Source organism: Homo sapiens, chromosome 5 (assembly GCF_000001405.40).
Source record: "Homo sapiens chromosome 5, GRCh38.p14 Primary Assembly".
In the NCBI taxonomy this organism is placed as follows: Eukaryota; Metazoa; Chordata; class Mammalia; order Primates; family Hominidae; genus Homo; species Homo sapiens.
Genome location: NC_000005.10, coordinates 81130700 through 81150622, shown reverse-complemented (window position 1 = coordinate 81150622; position 19923 = coordinate 81130700). Strand labels below are relative to the sequence as shown.

Below are 19923 nucleotides of genomic sequence, written 5' to 3'. Positions count from 1 at the left end.
CATGCATGCACATAAGTGAGTCAGGAAGAAATCCAAAGAATAAATGGATGATGGGGGGATGCATCTATTTCACTTCAACACTCTGGTCTGCCTTGACGATAGGGGCTGGAGATCTAATGGTGAACACACCGTCCCTGATCTCAAGAAGCTTATAAATCAAGTGGAGGAAACAGCCAATAATAACAGCAGAAAATATTCATTGAACACTTAGATGGTTCCAAGTGCTGAGCTAAGAACTGCACATGGTTCACCTCATTTAATCCTCAGGAGAGCCCTGTGAGTTGGGTACAGTCATTCTTCTCATTTTAAAGATGAGAAGATGAGACTTAAAGAGGCTGCCCCAGGTCACACAGCTAAATAAACGGCAGAACTCAGGTGCAGGTTTATTTGATATTGGAATTCACTCTCTTGACCACTCTTTACTTCTGACCCCTTGGAGAGCCATTCTTACGTGCCCTCATGGCCATTCTCCCTAAGGCCCTTATGGCCCACGTACCCTAAGAACTTCTTTTTCCCACTGCCAAATCACCAGACACCAGCAATCAGAGTCCATCCATTGTCCTTTGGAACAGGCACACAGCCCCTTATTTCCCTCCTTAAAGTAATAAGAACAGAAGCTCAAATCCTCAGGCCTAGATTGTGAACCTGCAAGGGCATGGAGCTTCCTAACTGTATCCTCCGCCCACCCCACAGTACTCAGAGTGAAGAGTTTCTCATAGATCCCAAGCGAACTCTTTCTACAGTAGGCAGCCTGGGTGTTTTCAAAAATCAAGACTGGAAGCCCACTAAAGATGGCAGGGCAATGCTAGGATCCACTGAATTAGATACTTTAAATGGGTGAACTGGGTGGTATGTGAAATATATATGCATAAAGCTGTTTAGAAAGAACAATGTGACAGGGCAGCCAGTCTTTGAGAATGAGAGGCTTCTCTCCCTAAGTCTCCATCAGAAGATGGTGAAACTCATGGAGGGTGGATTTTTTTTTTTTAATTGTAAAAAATTTTATTTCAACAGTTTCAGGTGGTTTCTGGTTACATGGATAAGTGATTTAGTGGTGATTTCTGAGACTTTGGTGCCCCCATCACCAAGTAGTGTACAATGTACCCAATATATAGCCTTTTACCCCTCCTCCCCTCCCACCCTTCCTCCCAAGTCCCCAAAGTCCATTGTGTCATTCTTATGCCTTTGCATCCTCATGGCTTGGCTCCCACTTATAAGTGAGAACATACGATGTTTGGTTCTCCATTCCTGAGTTACCTCACTTAGAATAATGGCCTCCAACTCCATCCAAGTTACTGCAAAGGCCACTTTTGTCTTCTGTTTTATGCATAAGTAGTTTTCCATGGTGCATATATACTACATTTTCTTCATCCACTCATTGGTTGATAGGCATACAGTTTGGTTCCATATTTCTGCAATTGTGAGTTGTGCTGCTATAAACATGCATGATCGTGTGTCTTTGTCATATAATGACTTATTTTCCCAATAGTGGGATTGCTGGATGGAATGGTAGTTCTACTTTTAGTTCTTTAAGGAATCTCTATACTGTTTTCCATAGTAGTTGTACTAGTTTACATTTCCACCAACAGTGTAAGAGTCCCCTTTTCACTGCATTTATTATTTTTTAATTTTTAAATTATGGCCATTCTTGCAGGAGTAATGTGGTCTCTCTTTGTGGTTTTAATTGCATTATCACTAATTATCAGGTTGCATTTCCCCAATAATTAGTGAGGTTAAGCATTTTTTGGTATGTTTGTTGATTGTATATCTTCTTCTTATTTTATTTTATTTTATTATTATTATACTTTTAAGTTTTAGGGTACATGTGCACAATGTGCAGGTTAGTTACATATGTATACATGTGCCATGCTAGTGTGCTGCACCCATTAACTCGTCATTTCGCATTAGGTATATCTCCTAATGCTATCCCTCCCCCTCCCCCCACCCCACAACAGTCCCCAGAGTGTGATGTTCGAGGGTGGATTTTTAAATGACAAAGGAAATAAATCAAATCTAGTTGGTGCGTTCAGGTGTTTCTTCTACTTGCTGTGATGGTTTTGTTACATGTTTAGCTGAAGCAATGTTTATGAGAACAAAGAAATAGGTTCAGATCCCTAAATATGTCTTCTATGTATATCAATCAGTATCCAAATATGCCCTGAGCCCTGTTGGAAAATTAAACCGAAACTATGAACTGCACAAAGGGATAAAAGGCAGTTCTCAGAGCTTTCTTATATGCAGGAAGTGGCTGAATCTGAGAAGCTGGTTGGTAGTTAAAATCACTGGGTGAGAGCCGCATACCAATTAATTCTTCAGCTGTCCCTTGAAATATCAGAGAGATGTGGCTGTGAAATACCACTAAACAAAAGTAACCTAAAGCACTAGACTAGGAGTCCAGTTTGTGATTTATAACTGCCCTTGAGTAAGTAAGTCTCTGTCCCTCACTGAGCCTGTTCCTTCAACTGTCAGAAGAGGAAGATGATATCTGCCTTCCTACTTCACAGGCTCGTTGTAATGAATACGTAGGTCTTCGTAAATCCATAATGCTAGTACAGAAAAAAGACAAAAAGAACATCACTTGCAGGTCATTAACACCCAGTGAGGAAGGTAAGGAAGGCAAGGCAGGAGACTCTAACCTCTGCTGAGACCGTATGCACTTAGTGCCTGCCTCTAAAGGGGACTATGGCTTGTTTCATACACATCTACGGGAATTAAGAGAACTGACTTTGGCAGAGGAAATCTCTGGCAGTGTAACATTATTTGCCAGATGAAGGCTTATCCAGACTAAGTTGCTCTACTGTTTTTAATTAATTTCAACTTGTGTGCAGGATCTCAAAAACAAGAAGCAAGAACAAAGCAAAATCTGTAGAGAGGAGGAGGATTATAGGCAGGTAACATCTGCGCTGTTACCATTCAAATGCTAGACATAATTAAACATAGAGCCTTTACAGCTGATGATCCAGTAATATCTGAAAAAGGAGACAGTTGGTCCCCCATGGCTGTTTGTTACATTTATTTTAAAAAACACACACATAAGAGCACATCACAGCACTATTATTTTACTCGATTTCAGTTAGGCTAGTTGGGGTTTCCTGCAGGTTTATGACTCTTGATTTTCAAAACCAGTGAAGTATAATTTGCTCCAATATGTCTCTCATCACTTCTCATTATGATGCATGTGCAGAAATCTTGGAAATATTAATTTAGTCCAGTATGACAGATGCTGCCTCCACCTAATCTAATATACCAGCTAAATTCCTCAGACTGTTACATAAACCACGAAATGCATACCCATAAAGTATAACTTGTAGATCCAGAGGAAGAAAGTGTTTCGAAGTTAAAAAAAAAATCTGCTGCCAGAGAAAGCTGACTAATTGGAAGAGCCTATGAAATAATTTGAAACTATATTAACCTATTATTTCAGGGTCATGCACTGAAGCCTTGTTATTTTGGTAATGCGACACTTTGTTTTCAAATCCAGAGTTTAACAACATTGGCTGATAATTATACTGATTATTATATAGCGTGCAGGAGTTCACATCTTGATCATTTAACATGTACTCTATGCCTGTTCATCTAACCTTTTCAACTAGATGACCAGTTCTTAAAGAGTAGAAGCAATGCCTTCTACTCTTGTACTTTTACTCAATGTATTTCATTTTTATCCTTCCACAGTACCTGATATGGTACTGTGTGTACACAGAAAGACCTATATAACCAATTGAAGATTTTTAAAAATCAAGTAAGCTTGTACATAATTTAGTCTACAGAGTGGGAAAGAATAACACTTTGAATTTGGGTGGAGGCTTCTGAAATGATACCAACCTTTCTGATGAACAATCAGATTTACACCTTGTGTTTAAAAATTCTAAGCAGCTGACATTTCTGGGAGCCTTTCCAACAGAGCAGGGTAGCGAGGTCAGTGGTGGCTAGACATCCCACCCTCTGCCGCACCCCGACAAATTTTAGAATTCCCACTTCTCTATGGATTCTTTTCTAAAATCATTGGCCCCGGTTCTAGTCACAACAATTTAAGAGCCAAGTTTTTCGTCCCAGAATCACAAAATAAGTATATAGTGAATACAGACCACCTGTTTTCCTACCAATGAGGAATTTACTAGTTTCTTTCCAGCTTTGTCTTATACTTCTAAATACCTTATAATTCCAAGAGACCAGCATGTCTGTAAGGGACCTCAAACTGGGCCAGTCTAACTCCCTGGGCAACTGAGCTGCTAGGGTACATAGAATGTGTCACATAGGCCAGCTTCAATTTCATCTTCAAATGATAATTGCAATTTAAAATTCAGCCTTACACACAGACAATAGCTACACAGGGGAGGCTCCTCTCAGTTTGCAGAATAGACTGGAACCATTAAGTTCCTTCTTATTGCTAAGCAACAGTTGTGTTAAAATCAAACTGCTCTAGGCTCTCAAACAGCAGAGAAAAATGAGTCTATTCAATTCAGAGCACTTCAGGTGATGAGAGAAGAGAAAGACTGTTCGGGAACCTTGAAATACAAGGCAGATTTAAGCTACATGTTAATTTCAAATATACTCCCTCAATTTCAAAACATTTGGTTGAGTATAAGCCCAGGGTGCTGTGTTCCACAGGGGATGCCCAGAAATGCTTCTCTTTCAAAAAATGAAAATATGCCCCTTACGTTTAACGTGATTATGAATAATTTGGTCAAAGTTTACTGGCTACTGTGATACCACCTGTATGAGTTATCTGTATCTACCTAACAAATCACCCTAAAATTTGAGACTTCAAACAACAAACACTTATTATCTCACAGTTTGTTTAAGACAAGAATTCGGAGGCTTAGCTGGGTGGATCGGGCTCAGGGCCATGCGGCTGGAGTCCAGGTGTCCACTAGGGCTGCAGTCATCTGAAGGCTGTGCTGGGGCTACGGGGTCTGCTTCCCAGCTCACTCACATGGCTGTTGGCAGAAGACCTAGTTCCTAGTTTTTTCCCCTGTGCGACTCTCCTCATGACTTGGTAGCTGGTTCTCCCCACAGCAAGTGATCCAAGAGAGAGATTGACCAAGATGAAAGGTGCTAAGCTTTTGATGACCTAGGTGCCAAAGTCATACACGATCACTTCCGCTTTATTTGTTAGAAGCAAGTTACTAAGTCCAGCCCACACTAAAGAGAAGGGAAATTTAGCACCATTTCTTGAACGGAGAAGTAGAAAAGAATTTGTGGTATATTTTTAAAACCACCAGACCATGCAAGAGAAAGGTTCATGTCCTTCCTAAACAAAATGGCAGCACTACAGAAACCCAAATAACAAGGTTCCAGCTATGCCTTATATGTATAAGGCAGAGGTTAGGGTGGTGACAGGTTAGACTGTGGGCCCCTTCTTCACTTATTTTTTTTATTTTTCATTTTTTGAGACAGAGTTTCACTCTTGTTGCCCAGGCTGGAGTGCAATGGCATGATCTAGGCTTACTGCAACCTCCACCTCCCAGGTTCAAGCAATTCTCCTAAGTAGCTGGGATTACAGATGTATGCCACCACACCCAGCTAATTTTCTATTTTTAGTAGAGACTGGGTTTCTCCATGTTGGTCAAGCTGGTCTGGAATTCCTGACCTCAGGTGATCCTCCCGCTGCCTCAGCCTCCCAAAGTGCTGGGATTACAGGCGTGAGCCACTGAGTCTGGCATTCTTCCCTTATTTTTTAAACATCAAGTGTGCATTGGGCCAAGGCAATAAAGTACTGATGAAATTCAAGCAGAGTAGGGTGGTGGTTAGAAGAGCCAGATGACAGGATTCAAATCTGCTACTTACTCCCTGTGTGACCTAAGTGACCTTAGGTGATTTACTTAACTCTCTGTATCCTCTGCTGGAACCTGAGTATAGTAATATTAACTACTTCACAATAAGTTAACATATGTAAAACTTGGACCATTGCTCAGTATATTGTATGCCTATTGAAGTGTATAACTCTAAATCACTGTTGTCATTGCTATGTTGATAATAAGTGCAACCACTCAATTTATATACAGAAATGCCCATCTGGGCAGCATAGGAGAATGGTTTGCAAGATGTAGGTGAAGCTTTGGGAGCTTCACCTCTATAAAAATGACCCATAACTGCTATGTATTTACAATCAATTAAAAAGGCTAACTACATGTTATCAAGTTATCGCCTTATGTCTTCCCAGCACTTGTGAAGCCATAGGCTGTAAGTGCCGGCAAGGGCACAACCTGTACTAATCACAGCTGGTGCATAAATAAGGAACACACACAGGACCTACAGTCTAAGGGGATATTCTCCTGGCAGATTGAAAGCCCCTTCCTCCCTTACCATAGACCTTAGAAGTTTTAATGTTTGGTTTACTTGTGCTGACTTCCACCACCAAGCATATAAAAGCAGTATGTTTCCATAGATTACTTTGACTACCACATTTAATCTTTGACATAACAGTTTGAAAATTTTTTTAACTAAAAGCTTGTCACATCCTTTTAATGTATGAGGCTGATGAAATTTTACATAATCACAACATTATCATTGGTTATTTCTCCCAAAAAAGTTCATTGAGAAATTCCACTTTTCATTGTATATTTTTGAGGCTGTCTACTATTTCTAACTTTCCTGCATAATAATTTTCAGCTTTGCATAATACTGACATGACCACCACTGTTTATTTGCCCTATTGCCTTTATTATAAAGATTCAAATAACCAAAAAGTCCAGGAAACAGAATTTTTTTAGTCTTTTTTTTTTTTTTTCTGAGACATTTTCACTCTGTCGCCCAGGCTGGAATACAGTGGCACTATCTCAGCTCATTGCAACCTCTGCCTCCCAGGTTCAAGCAATTCTCCTGCCTCAGCCTCCTGAGTAGCTAGGATTACAGGTGTGCACCACCACGTCCGGCTAATTTTTGTATTTTTAGTAGAGATGGGATTTCACCATGTTGGCCAGGCTGGTCTCAAACTCCTGACTTCATGATCCGCCCGCCTCGGCCTCCCAAAGTGCTGGGATTATAGGCGTGCACCACCGTGCCTGCCCTTTTTAATCTTATATGATGATAATTTTTGTTTTTATGCTTACTCTGAATCATCATTAGATAGTGAGAGTCTTTCTGACTCATCAGAGATTATTTTCAGCATTCCTGCATTGTTAAAAGTATTTCATTGTATGTTATTATTAAAAAATTTGTATTTTTTTTCAGGCCAGGTGTGTTGGCTCATACCTGTAATCCCAGCACTTTGGGAGGCCAAGGTGGGTGGATCACCTGAGGTCAGGAGCTCAAGACCAGCCTGGCCAACATGGTGTAACCCCATCTCTACTAAAAATATAAAAATTAGCCAGGCGTGGTAGCATGCGCCTGTAATCCCAGCTACTTGGGAGGCTGAGTCAGGAGAATCGCCTGACTCAGGAGGCAGAGGCTGCAGTGAGTGGAGATTGCGCCACTGCACTCTAGCCTGTGCGACAGAGTGAGACTCCATCTCAAAAAAATAAAAATAAAAAATAAAAAATGTGTATTTTCTTCAAAGAATCAGAAGTCCTATGTTCAGATAGCTTTTGTCTTTCTAATTGGTCTTTCCCAGCCTAAGATTTTTTCGTCTTTAAAATAAAGGGATACTACGAATATATTTTTCACCACAGAAAACTTCTACAGAACCAAGATATAATCCTAGAAATGCACTGGAGGCCACATCCTGAGAGCAATTTACTACAGGACCCAGTTGGATGCATTAAGAGACTGCTGGACTCCTGACAAGACTGCAAGAGGCAGGGCCAGTTTCTTGGTGTACAGCCTGTGTCACACACCGCCCATGCTTAGAAGGTCTCATGCTTGGTTAGATGCCCTGCATCTTAATTGAAATTCTTAATAATTCTTAATAAGAATTCTTGAAATTCTTAATAATTTTTTCAACAGGGACACTTGCATTTTCATTTCACACTGGGTGCTGCAAAGCACATAGCCTGTCCTAGCAAGAGGATGTATCTCCATGAAATAGGAGCAGAATTCCAAAAGGTGAGAACCTAGCAAGGTAAAAAGACAGCATGATACAGAAAAAGAGGAGATGAATAAGAAATAAGGCAAGGGTGGGCTACACCAAAATGAAAAGATGGTGAGGGCCCCATATAAGAAACATTGCATGCAGCCAACATTTTGACCTTAGACTTCTGAATGTCATTGCTAAAACAGGTTACACAGGCAGCCTGCTTCCCATCATCCTCTGACTAACCAGAAGATAGAGAATTGCATTCAGAAAGTGAGCATAGTTCTTTTTAGGGCTGGCAGATAGCAGAGCAGTGATGTTTAGCCTTCTGTTTTCACACCATTCACACGTGCAGCACATTGCCATCAATAACATCTCTCTTCTGGACTGCTTGCCTCTGGGAGGCCACTCAGAATCCCCACCGGGACAGGAATATTTTGAGGAAGTCCCCGGCTGTTCTTATTCTACCCCATCTACACTCCATTGGAAATCAATGCAGTACAACACCTACATGATATTAAGCTTCTGATTTTGAAACAGAAAATTGATATGTAATTCCTGCCCAAATTTTACATTTTAGCTTGTAATCTAGACCCTGGAAAAAGCCCAGATTCTGTGCCTTTCTTATAAGTTTATGCATGCTGTTAAGCTATTTAAACAGTGCTGAGTGTTCTCACAAATCCTGAGACTGTAGACAGCAGAGTATATATGTGACATCAACTTAATTCACAGTAATCAATATCTCACTGCAAATTTAATCCAATTCTCAATACAGAAATACATGCTTCCTCTAACCAGATCATACCATTGTACTAAGGCCCTGATTTCCACAATGCTGTGAATGAAATCACAGATCCTTCAATGCTAACTGCTGGTCAACTAAGAACCCATCCACAGACTACTAATTTCCCCCAGGCTCATCTCTCTGGAGTCCCCAAACTGCTGTGTCTATCACTTAGGGGAATGCTAGGTGGATACAGAGGTGGGAAAAAGACGGAAAGAAATGGACGTGCTGCAGAGAAAGGCAGAAGCAAGAGTTAATAACAAAATTAAGCAATTCAAGCTTCCCAAGCTCTTGCTGTTTTTGAAGTTAATATGGATTAGAGGCTATATCAGGGCAAAGAAAGCAGCAGTTTAGCAGTGGAGAGATCTGAGGCTCATTCTCAATAACTATGAGAACCTGGGCAAGACCCTTCACCACTCCAGATGCCACACTTGCTTCAGAATCTATAACGTGAGATGAAGAGAGACGGTCCCCACTGTGCCCCTTCCATAGTGAGGGGATGACATAGTGAGGGAGGCTCAGACCTTTGAGATAAGATTACCCTCTGAAAGCAAATGTGGTCAAGCACAGTGCCCGAGAAGAGATCAACTCTCTGTAAAATCACCCAGTAAAAGGAATAGAAGATACATGGGAGTGGCACTGAAGAGATTCAGGAGTTTACTGCTAATATTTAGGAGTGTCTCTGGAAATCTTAGCTGTATCAACCTACAACTCCAGCTGGAAGTGATTACAGTAAATCTGAGGTCACACACTGGTGGCTCACAGCCAAATGTGGCCCATGAAAGTATTGTGTTTGGCCTGGACAGTATTTTTAAAGAGTGTGAATTCACTTCCAACATTTCAAAACAGAAAATTTCACATAAATATCAAGATTTCTGGCTAGAAAAAAAAAAACCAGAGAAAACACATCTGACAGCCCTAGTCCTGCAGCCCCTCATGGCAACAATCTGCAGGGGCTGGGCAGTGGCTGTGTCCTTCAAACATGGCAGCACCTCTCCATCCCTACTTAGGTTACTTGCCTGGCCCTGACATGGATGAAACAGTAATGTAATCAAGCAGCAATTAAGCCATGTGAGGCATAATCAACTACATTGTACCTTTGCTGAGAAGAGACAGTAATAGAAGAGAGCAGCCTGCAGGGAGCCTGGGAAGGGAAAGTGCAAAGAAAAGGAACTCGGCAGTGCAGCACCATCAGGGAAGAAGGTGGACAGGCCAGCTGGAACAGGATTTGGGTCTGCTTGGAAAGCACAGCAAAGATATCTCTGTGATCTAGCTTGCTGCGTGGCATGTTTCCAGGAAGAGAATGCAAAGCCCACCTGCCATGAGCATTCTAGCTGCTTCGCAGGCTCAGGAGTGTACTCACACCAGTGAAAGCTGCAGCTTTGCAGTTCCACAATTCTAATTCCAAGCAAAATGTGAGTGAGTGTGCGTGTGTGCATGTGTGTGTCTGTGTGTGTGTGTGTGTGTGTGTGTTTAAAAATAGGACTTGGGACCATTGTTAAAGTACTGGTCTTTAGTGAAATAATGTTTAAATATTTTTAATATATTTTGGAAAAAAACAATAGAAAATATGTCCCAAACTAGGATACCCTCCAGTAGGAAAAAACAAAAAGGTGTCCTGAATCTGTTGAAGAATGGTGTGAAAGAACAAGTAGATGAAAAGAAGTATCCTTGGATACTTTTATTCGGGAATTACCCAGTGATTCTGAACAAGGCCTATTAAGGTACAGCTAATCTAGTTTCAAAGTCAGGTTCCAGCCAGGCACAGTGGCTAACACTTGTAATCCCAGCACTTTGGGAGGCCGAGGCAGGAGGATCACTTAAGGACGGGGGTTGGAGACCAGCCTGGGCAACGTGGAGAGACCTCATCTCTACGAAACCTAAAAAAAATTAGCCAGATTTAGTGGTGCATAACTATAGTACCAGCTACTCAGGAGGCTTAGGAGGAAGGATCACCTGAGCCCAGGAGTTCAAGGCTGCAGTGAGCCATGATTGTGTCACTGTACTCCATGACAGCCTGGGTGACAGAGCAAGACTCTATCTCTCAAAAAATAAAAAAAGTCTGAATTCCAATGGGATGTGTACGGAAAGAGCTTTGTGGGATTATTTTGATAGGCGCCTTTTGTGAGCTGATTGTATGTTTATATCATTATATTTATTACTGTAAAATATGAGCACCAACTATATCATCACCAGTGTATAGTTCCCCTGCTTGACAAGGACTTCAAAGAAGCGCTTGCAATTCAAAACATAGGCTTATAAAAATTAATTTTTGTCTAGTCGGTGCAATAAAGCAAGAAAGAACAGCCTGGCCAATATGGTGAAACCCTGTCTTTACTAAAAATACGAAAAGTTATTTTAGTGTGTGTGGTGGCAGCTGCCTGTAATCCTAGCTATCTGGAAGACTGAGGTGGGCAAATCGCTTGAATCCGGGAGGTGGAGGTGACACACCGAGACTCTGTCTCAAAAAAAAAAAAAAGAAAGAAAGAAAGAAAGAAAATGAAAGGCGTATAGATTGGAAAGGAAGAAATAAAACTATCTTTATTCACAGAAGAAATGATTCTATATGTAGAGAATCCTAAAGAATCTTTGAAAACAAACCTAGTAGAACTAATAAATGAATTTAGCAAAGTTGTAGAAAACAAGACAACCTAGAAAAATCAATTATATTTCTAAATATTAGCAACAAACTATCTAAAAATAAAAGGAAACAATTCTATTCACAATAACACCAAAAAGAGTCAAATACTTAGGAATAAGTGCAACAAAACAAATGTAAGATTTGTATGCTAAAAAATATAAAATATCGCTGAGAGAAGTGAGAGAAGATCTCAGTAAATGAAGGGACATTCCCAGTTAATGGATTGAAAGGCTGAGTATTGTTAAGATGTGCATTTCTCCCCAATTTGACCTACAAAATTAATAGATCACAATAAAGATCCCACCAAGTTGAGAATCTGAGTTTCAGCTCTGACACATAAAGAACTTAGAAGTTACCATATCCATCCATAATACAAGAGGAATGAAATAGCCTGAAAATCAACAACTTTTCTTGGACACACCAGAAAACTGAGGTTTCAAGGGAAATGGTCATCACAAACTCTGGAAAAAAAAAAAACAAGCACATCCAGAGAGACACAGATCTGCCTACCTGGAGCTGAAGTCGCTGGAACCGGGACCTGGTAGCAGCACTTGAATGGTTGTATTGATGAACTTCTGGAGGTTGAGTGTGGACCAGCATGACAGTGAGACGCTCTTGAGAACCACATTCTTAGGAGGGCGGCCACATATTTGGGGACTTTACCTCCAGGAATCACACCAAGTCCTCCCAGTAAACACCGGAGAAAGATCTCTTCATGGCTCTTGCAGGGAGAGGGGAAGAGTAACACTGGAAATATGCCCAGGGCCTTCTCTACAATGAAAGCCAGCTCTTCAGGGAAAAAGGCTTTGCCTAAGCCTTATCCCACTTGGAAAAAGACATTTTTCCCATTCCAGTCCCCTCTCGCCTTCTTCTTAGCTACGGGGAAAATAATATAGTCTACAGGGGTCAGGGATTCAAGGAAATAAATTGGGAATGCAGCAGCCAGGGAAGCAGGGGGCAGTGGGAAAAGAAGCTATATCACTGGAGAAACGTTTGTAAGGGTCACAGCTTCAAGATGCCAGTCCATTAAAACACTAAGGTTTCATTGGAAGATATAGAAGACTCCTCCTCCCCACCATCACCCCACCCTAACAGAGACCCAGTAAGATAACAGTAGATTACAGCAGAAAGAGCTCGAAAACAGATTCTCTCTGAGAAGGAGTACTTAGGGAGCCCCAAGTTGTGAAGGGAAACAAAAAGGGCATTGAAGGAATTTGAAGCCCTTGGTTCCTATAGCTACAGCAAACATCAAGCACGGCCCAAATTCTAGCCAGATAACATAAATCTTCACACTTCAAGGCCTATCATTCTCAGTCTCTATTATCTGATATAACCTGTCTGGGTCTCAACAAAAAACTACAAGGCATGCCAAAAGGCAAGAAGAAACACAGTCTAAAGAGACTTTAGTAATTTGTTCAGGCTGCCATAATAAAATACCACAGAATTGGTGCTAAATAAATGTATTTTCTCATAGCTGTGGCGACTAGAAGTCCAGATCTCAGAGTCAGCGCGTTGTTTCTTCTGAGACTCTCTCTTTGGCTTGTAGGTGGCCGTCTTCTTCCTGTGTCTTCACGTGGTCACGCCTTAGTCTATGTGTATGTCCTAATAGCCTCCTTATAGGGTTCATCCATATGACCTGATTTAACCTTAATGACCTCTTTAAAGACCCTATCTTCAACTACAGTCATATTCTAGGGTAATGGTGGGACCTCCACATATGCATTTAGTGGGGACACAGTGCAGCCCATAACAGATATAAAGCAAGCATCAGAATCAGACTCAGATATGACAAAGACCTGGGAATTATTAGACAGTGAATTTAAAATAACTATGATTTCAGATGCTGTTCAACTTATGACTGAGTTACATCCCAATAAACCCATCTTAAATGAAAAAAAGTGTAAGTCAACAATGCATTTAATATATCTAACCTACCAAACATGACAGCTTAGCCTAGCCCACCTTAAATGTGCTCAGGACAGTAGCCTACAGTTGGGCAAAATCATCTAACACAAAGCCCATTTTACAATAAAGTGTGCAATATCTCATATAATTTATTGAATACCATACTGAAGGTGAAAAACAGAATGGTTGTATGCATACTTAAAGCACAGTTTCTACTGAAAGTGCTTCACTTTCACACCATCATAAGGTCAAAAAGTTGTAAGTTGAGCCATTGTAAGTAGGTAAATATCTATAATATGTTAAGGGTTCTAATGGAAAAAGTAGACAATATGCAAGTTCAGATGGGTAATGTAAACAGGTAAATAGAAACTAAGAATCAAAGGAAAATGCTAGACATAAAAAAACACAGACACGGAAATGAAGAATGTCTTTATCTGATTCATCGGTAGACTCAACATAGCTGAGGGAAGAATAGTGACCTTGAAGAGAGGCCAATCAAAATTTCCAAACTCAAGCACAAAGAGAAAAAGGAAAGGGGGAAAAAACCCAAACAGAAGAGCACATACAAGAACTGTGGGACAATTTCAAAGGGTATAACAAACAAGTAATTGGAGTACTGAAGAACTGAGTCAAAGAAATATTTGCATTAATAATGGCAAGAGCTTTCCAAAATTAATAACAGACACGAAACCCAGATCCAGGAAGCTCAGAGAACACCAAGCAGAATAAATACCAAGACAATCACATCTAGGCATATCATATTCAAACTGCAGCAAACTAAAGATAAAGAGAAGTTCTTGAAATAAACACCAACAGAGGAACAAGGACAAGAATGACAACACCACATCAGAAACCAGGCAAGCAAGAAGAGAGTGGAGTGAAATATTTAAAGTGTTAAAAGAAAAAAACCACCAAGCTAGAGTTCTATGTTCAGTGAAGTTATGCTTCAAAAGTGAAGGAGAAATAAAGACTTTCTCAGGCAAATAAAAACTGGAGGAATTCATTGCTGGCAGACCTGCCCTGCCAGAAATGTTAAAAGAAGTTCTTTACGCAGAGAAAAATGATATAGGTCAGAAACTTGGATCTATATAAACAAAAGAAGAGCACTGAAGAAGGAAAAAATGAAGATAAAGGAAAATCTTTTGTTTTTCTTATTTTTAAATGATCTAAAAGATAACTTTGCTTAAAGTAATAATAGTCGGGAGGCTGAGGCAGGCAGAATTGCCTGAACCCAGGAGGTGGAGGTTGCAGTGAGCCGAGATTGCGCCACTGCACTCCAGCCTGGGCGACAGAGTGAGACTCCATCTCAAAATATTAATAATAATAACAATGTATTGGATGATTATAGGATATGGATAAGTAAAATAACTCACAGTAATATTACAAGGGAAGAATTGGGACTACTCTGTTGTATGGAGCAAATGGAACTCAATTACACTGCTGATGGAAATGCAAAATGGTACAGCCACTTTCAAAAACAGTTTGACAGTTTATTAAGCAGTTAAACATAATCTTATCACACAACCTAGCAAATCTACTCCTGGGTATGTACTCACATAAATGCAAACAAACAAACACACAAAAATTTGTATATGAACATTGATAGCAGCATCATTCACAGCAGCCAAAAAGCAGAAATAACCTCAATGTCCATTAGCTCATGAATGGATAAATAAAATGTGGTATATCCATACAATAGAATACTATTCCACAGTAAAAAGGATCAAGTGACTGATGCATTCTACAAAAATGGTTGAACCTCAAAAACATTACGCTAGTAAAAGAAGCCAGTCACAAAAGGGCACATATTGTATGAGTAATTCCATTTATATTAAATATCGAGAACAAATAAGTTTATAGAGACAGAAAAGAGATTAGCAGTTGCAAAGGGCTAGAGGAAGAGACAAATAGGGAGTGACTGCTAACAGCTAAAGGGCTTGGGGAAATGTTCTAAAATGTATTGTGACTGTTGCCCAACTCTGGGAATATATTAAAATCCATGGAACTGTAGACTTTTTTATTTATTTATTTTTTTAGACAGGGTTTTTGCTCTGTCGCCCAGGCTGGGATGGAGCACGATCATTACTCACTGCAGCCTCCACCTCCCAGGCCCAAAAGATCCTCCCACCTTGGCCTCCCAAGTAGCTGGGACTACAGGCGTGTGCCACCATATGCAGCTATTTTTTTTTTTTTTGGTAGAAATGGGGTTTTACTATGTTGCCCAGGTTGGTCTTGAACTCCTGGGCTCAAGCAATCCTCCCACCTTGGCCTCCCAAAATGTTGGGATTAGAGGGATAAGCCATCACACCCAGCTTGAACTGTAGGCTTTAAACAGGTTAATTGTATGGTACGTGAATTATAGCTCAATAAAGCCATTATAAAAATGTAACTAGAGAATAATTACTACAACAGTTTTTATTACTTTGAGATAAAAAGATTTTCTAACATGATGCAGAACTCTAGGCAACCTTCCATATTTTAAATGATGAAGAAAAGTGAGAATTTAAATGTACAACTTGGAACAACATCAATTATGCATACTGTGCAAAAACTACCAAAAGATAAAGGTTGAGTTGTACTTAGTGCTTAGGAAGAGATTCAAATTTAGGTTTTTCATCTACTGTATAGTCTACTACAAGTAATATGGAGTCAGATTTTTAAACAGGGAAGGCAGCTCAGACATTATACTAGTTCACTGCTTCTCAAACTTTAGTATGTATCAGAATCAACTAAAGAGCCTGTAAAAGACAGATGCTGTGCCCCATCCTCAGAAATGCTGATTCAGTAGGAATGATGTGTGGCCCGAGAATTTATTTTTCCAGTAAGTTCCCAGGTTATGCTGATGCTACAGGCCCAGAGATCACACCTGGAGAGCCAGTGCACCAGCTGAGCTCTCAGGCTTCCACCATGAAACAACAGGCCCAGAGAGAAACCGTCCAAGGTGATGCACACAGGACTCAGTCTAGCACTCCTCACATCCAGCCCACCTACCATATCTACACCTAAAACACTGAATATGTAAATTAATACTAGACTGTAGAATGAAATCCAGACATACTTCCTAAATTGCCTGAGGGTGTGGGTTAAGATTACACAACTGTTTTAACCACATTCTTCTACTGAATTAATCAAATAATCATGAAATCCATCTACATCCAAATCTAACATGAAATTTGGAAAATCCAAATTTTTACCCTTAACTGACATTACCTCAGTAAAATATTCACTCACACACACACACACACACACACACACACACGCACACAAGCATTTCCTACTTGGCTTCACATTAGTATCACCTGGGGAACTTAAAAAATTCCTGAATCCCACGATGTACCCCCAGATCAATCAACTCAGAATCTTTAGGTATAGGACCAGATATCATCAGTATTTTAAAAAACCGATCCAAGCCCAACTCACATTAACCTCAGATCTACTATTTACCACACATGCCATGACTGGTTTTACAGAAGATAAAACAGATTATGAATTATCTACTTTACAAGTACCAGGTAACTACCAGTAAAAGATTCACTATTTATCTAAGCAATTGTAACAGTGTCATTAATTTTCCTATAAGTGCATTCAACTATTCCTCTACTTTGTTAATTTACTTTGAGTTGCATAGAACAGTAAAACATATAATCTGCTCACAGATAACCAGGAGTTGCTTATAGTACCTCCACTGCCATGATTTCTACTCTCATAAAAATAACCCACCTCACACTTTCATACTGCATTTTATATCATTTCACAAACTCTATAATTAATCCTACAACTTCAGGTGTATAGTAAGTGCAATGATGTGCTCTGATATATTTATTCATTGAATTTGCATTTCTATTCATATCATAACTATATCCAAACTGCACCTGCAGATTCCCTGTATCAGCAGCCATTTGAAATGCACACATTTATATTTCTACTTTATGCAGAGCTCTTCAATTTGAGCAGGTGCCTGCAAATACATTTCAATCAGTGTGGTGGCACACAAGAACACCATCAACCATCCTTTGTTTCAGTCCTATCCTGTATAGAGTTAAAGCCCTATGAAAAGGAGGACTGTTTGACATTGGAAAAGGAAATCGGGGTGGCAATACATACATCATGCTGCTCTACTCACCACTACCAACTTATCCAACTAGTCACCAGAAGAGTGTGCATATTAACACCTGGTCAACTGTTCATATTTAATTGATGCCATCTTCTGCTTTTTTTCATTATACCACCTGACTCTGGGCTAACTTAGAAGAAAGATGGCTAATGACTCATTGACAATCACTGATGCCCCCACCCTCACTCCCCAGCATACAAAATTTCCTGTAGCTGTTGCGATTCCAAGAATTTTCTGGATTGGACTCAAAAGCAGATTTATCAGGAAGTCAAGAAAGCTTAAGCTTTAGGCCTTCTCAATTTGTATGGGCCTCTTCCAAAGCCCCGGGAGGTGCCCTAAAAGTTTATATTTATAATTTTATATTATTTTCCTTGAGGTGTGTTTCCCCAAATTGTATAAACATCAGGCCTACAAATTCAGGATCCATCTGTAACTGGGCCTAATTTGTAGATCAATGATGGTACCAAAAGCCTGGTTCTGTGGGTATGGGTGCAACACAAAACCCATTCTTGTTAATATCACACAGTATGAAGCTTTAACAGTTTAGTTAGTGCTTGCATTCTGATTGGCAGCAAACATTTACAGTGACCCTAGGCCTCAGGTCTAGGCATATCTCAAGGACTTTCCAATCATGAGTGTGAGGAAAAGTCTTACATCAAATGAATAACAAGACAATGAGGCTTATTTACAAGTCTACCAGGTGCTCAGCTCAGGGTTGTGGGTATCCAAAAAAGTGATACTAAACACAAAAGACACTCAAAACCTGCTTGCTGACTTGAAGAGACTGGTATCACCTCCCCAGATCAGTCGGAGAAATAAGACAAAACTCTTTTACCTTGAAATAACAACAACAACAAACAATTTAAAAACACCACAGCACTATAAAAATATATGGACAGTACAGTTTTTTCTTTTCTGCACTGAATATTCCCTATTGCAAGTATGAAGATTCAATCATTGATTCATTAATTCGGTAAGCATTTATGGATCATTTACTACATATACAATACTATTCTAGATATTGGGGATACTGCAGTATATAAAATAGATAAAAATCTCTGCCCTCGTCGATCTTACATTTATTGGAGAAATGGATAATAAAGCAAGATAAATTAGTAAAAAAAATAGTGTGTCAAATAGTGATAAGTGTTGAGGAAAAAAACAAAGCAAGGATAGAAAGTGTTGGTAGGGAGTTGAAATTAACAGGGAACGTGAGACAATAATGCTTCTGCTAAAAGCTGCATTCCTGCGATGTGTTTCTTTGTCAGAGAAACACTATAAACAGACAGAGAAGTAATAGTGAAAGCACAACACTACAATCCTGGGTATCACCTATGGGTCTACATAAAAATCCATTAAAAATTCCCTGAAAGGTTACCACATTCACAGAAAGCATAAAATCCGAATCTCGAGTTTTGAGGGGCAGGATATGGATTCTCTGGATAGCAGTGACTCAGGTAAACAAAGGGAGCATGACATGGAAGGAAAAGACTCATCCAATTTTGGGAAGGGAAGGCTCTAGATCTTTTTTTTTTTTTTCTTTTCTTTTAAAGGAAGAAAAAGAGATTGAGGCCAGGCGCAGTGGCTCACACCTGTAATCCTAGCATTTTGGAAGGCCAAGGCAGACAGATCACCCAAAACCAGGAGTTCAAAACTAACCTGGCCAACATGGTGAAACCCCATCTCTACTAAAAATACAAAAATTAGCTGGGCATGGTGGCACACACCTGTAGTCCCAGCTACTTGGGAGGCTGAGACAGGAGAATCGCTTGAACCTGGGAGGCAGAGGTTTCAGTGAGCCAAGATCACGCCCCTGCACTCCAGCCTGGGTGATAAAGCGAGACTTTGTTCCCCCGACCCCCCAAAAAGATTGAAAACCAGGCTTTTCCAGTCTATGTGGAAATTAGGCAGGCTGAGACCCCAGCAGCAGGGCAGGCAATCCCAAACAGATCACAGGGCACCACCCACAAATAAAATCAGTTTTCCTTGCCCCCGGGGTCAGGCAGGAACATCTTGTCTTGACCTCCTTGCAAAAAAAATTGCTGTCCTCCCTTGTATTGCATTTGAAATTCCTTTTAATGCATTAAGGAAGTTTTCTAAGCAATACTTAAAGAGACATGGTTTAATATACAAATGCCTAGAGTTAATGTTTGAGAGCATAATAATTAATTGACAGTTATAACCCAGAGGTGCCAGATTCCTATATATTTTGATGGAGATGGGGTCAAGGGAAGGGCTGGGAGAGTATTAAAGCAAGAGGGAATCTGCAGAGGCACCTGAAACATGGAAACCCACTCCGCAGACCTCTGGCTTGGCTGGGCTATACCTTGTTTCCTGTTAGGAGCAAGGACACAGCAGAGCTGCATCCCCAAGTCTATCTGTATCACAGCTGAATAAGCAGACAGGAAGCCTGCAGACACTGATGAAAGCATGGGGTGTTTATTTGTCTATGCAATCTTTCTTCTGCTTGCCTTTGCAACTCACCTGGATGCATCCGGGCTGGCAATTCCTGATTCCCAGAGGAG

At 40.2% G+C, this 19923-nt stretch overlaps 1 protein-coding gene across 7 annotated transcripts in view; it reads right to left on the bottom strand.

Moving 5' to 3' along the window:
• Positions 1 to 19923, bottom strand: part of RASGRF2 (Ras protein specific guanine nucleotide releasing factor 2) — a 269800-nt gene that overhangs the window by 79540 nt on the left and 170337 nt on the right. Inside the window, exon 18 of one of the 7 annotated variants that reach the window (XM_017009683.2) lies at positions 12078 to 12100. The exons of the other annotated variants lie outside the window; for them this stretch is intronic. Coding sequence (XP_016865172.1) covers positions 12093 to 12100 — 8 coding nt within the window. The 3' untranslated portion in view covers positions 12078 to 12092. Of the gene's footprint in view, positions 1 to 12077; positions 12101 to 19923 lie in introns of those variants that run through there. 7 annotated transcript variants of the gene reach the window in all.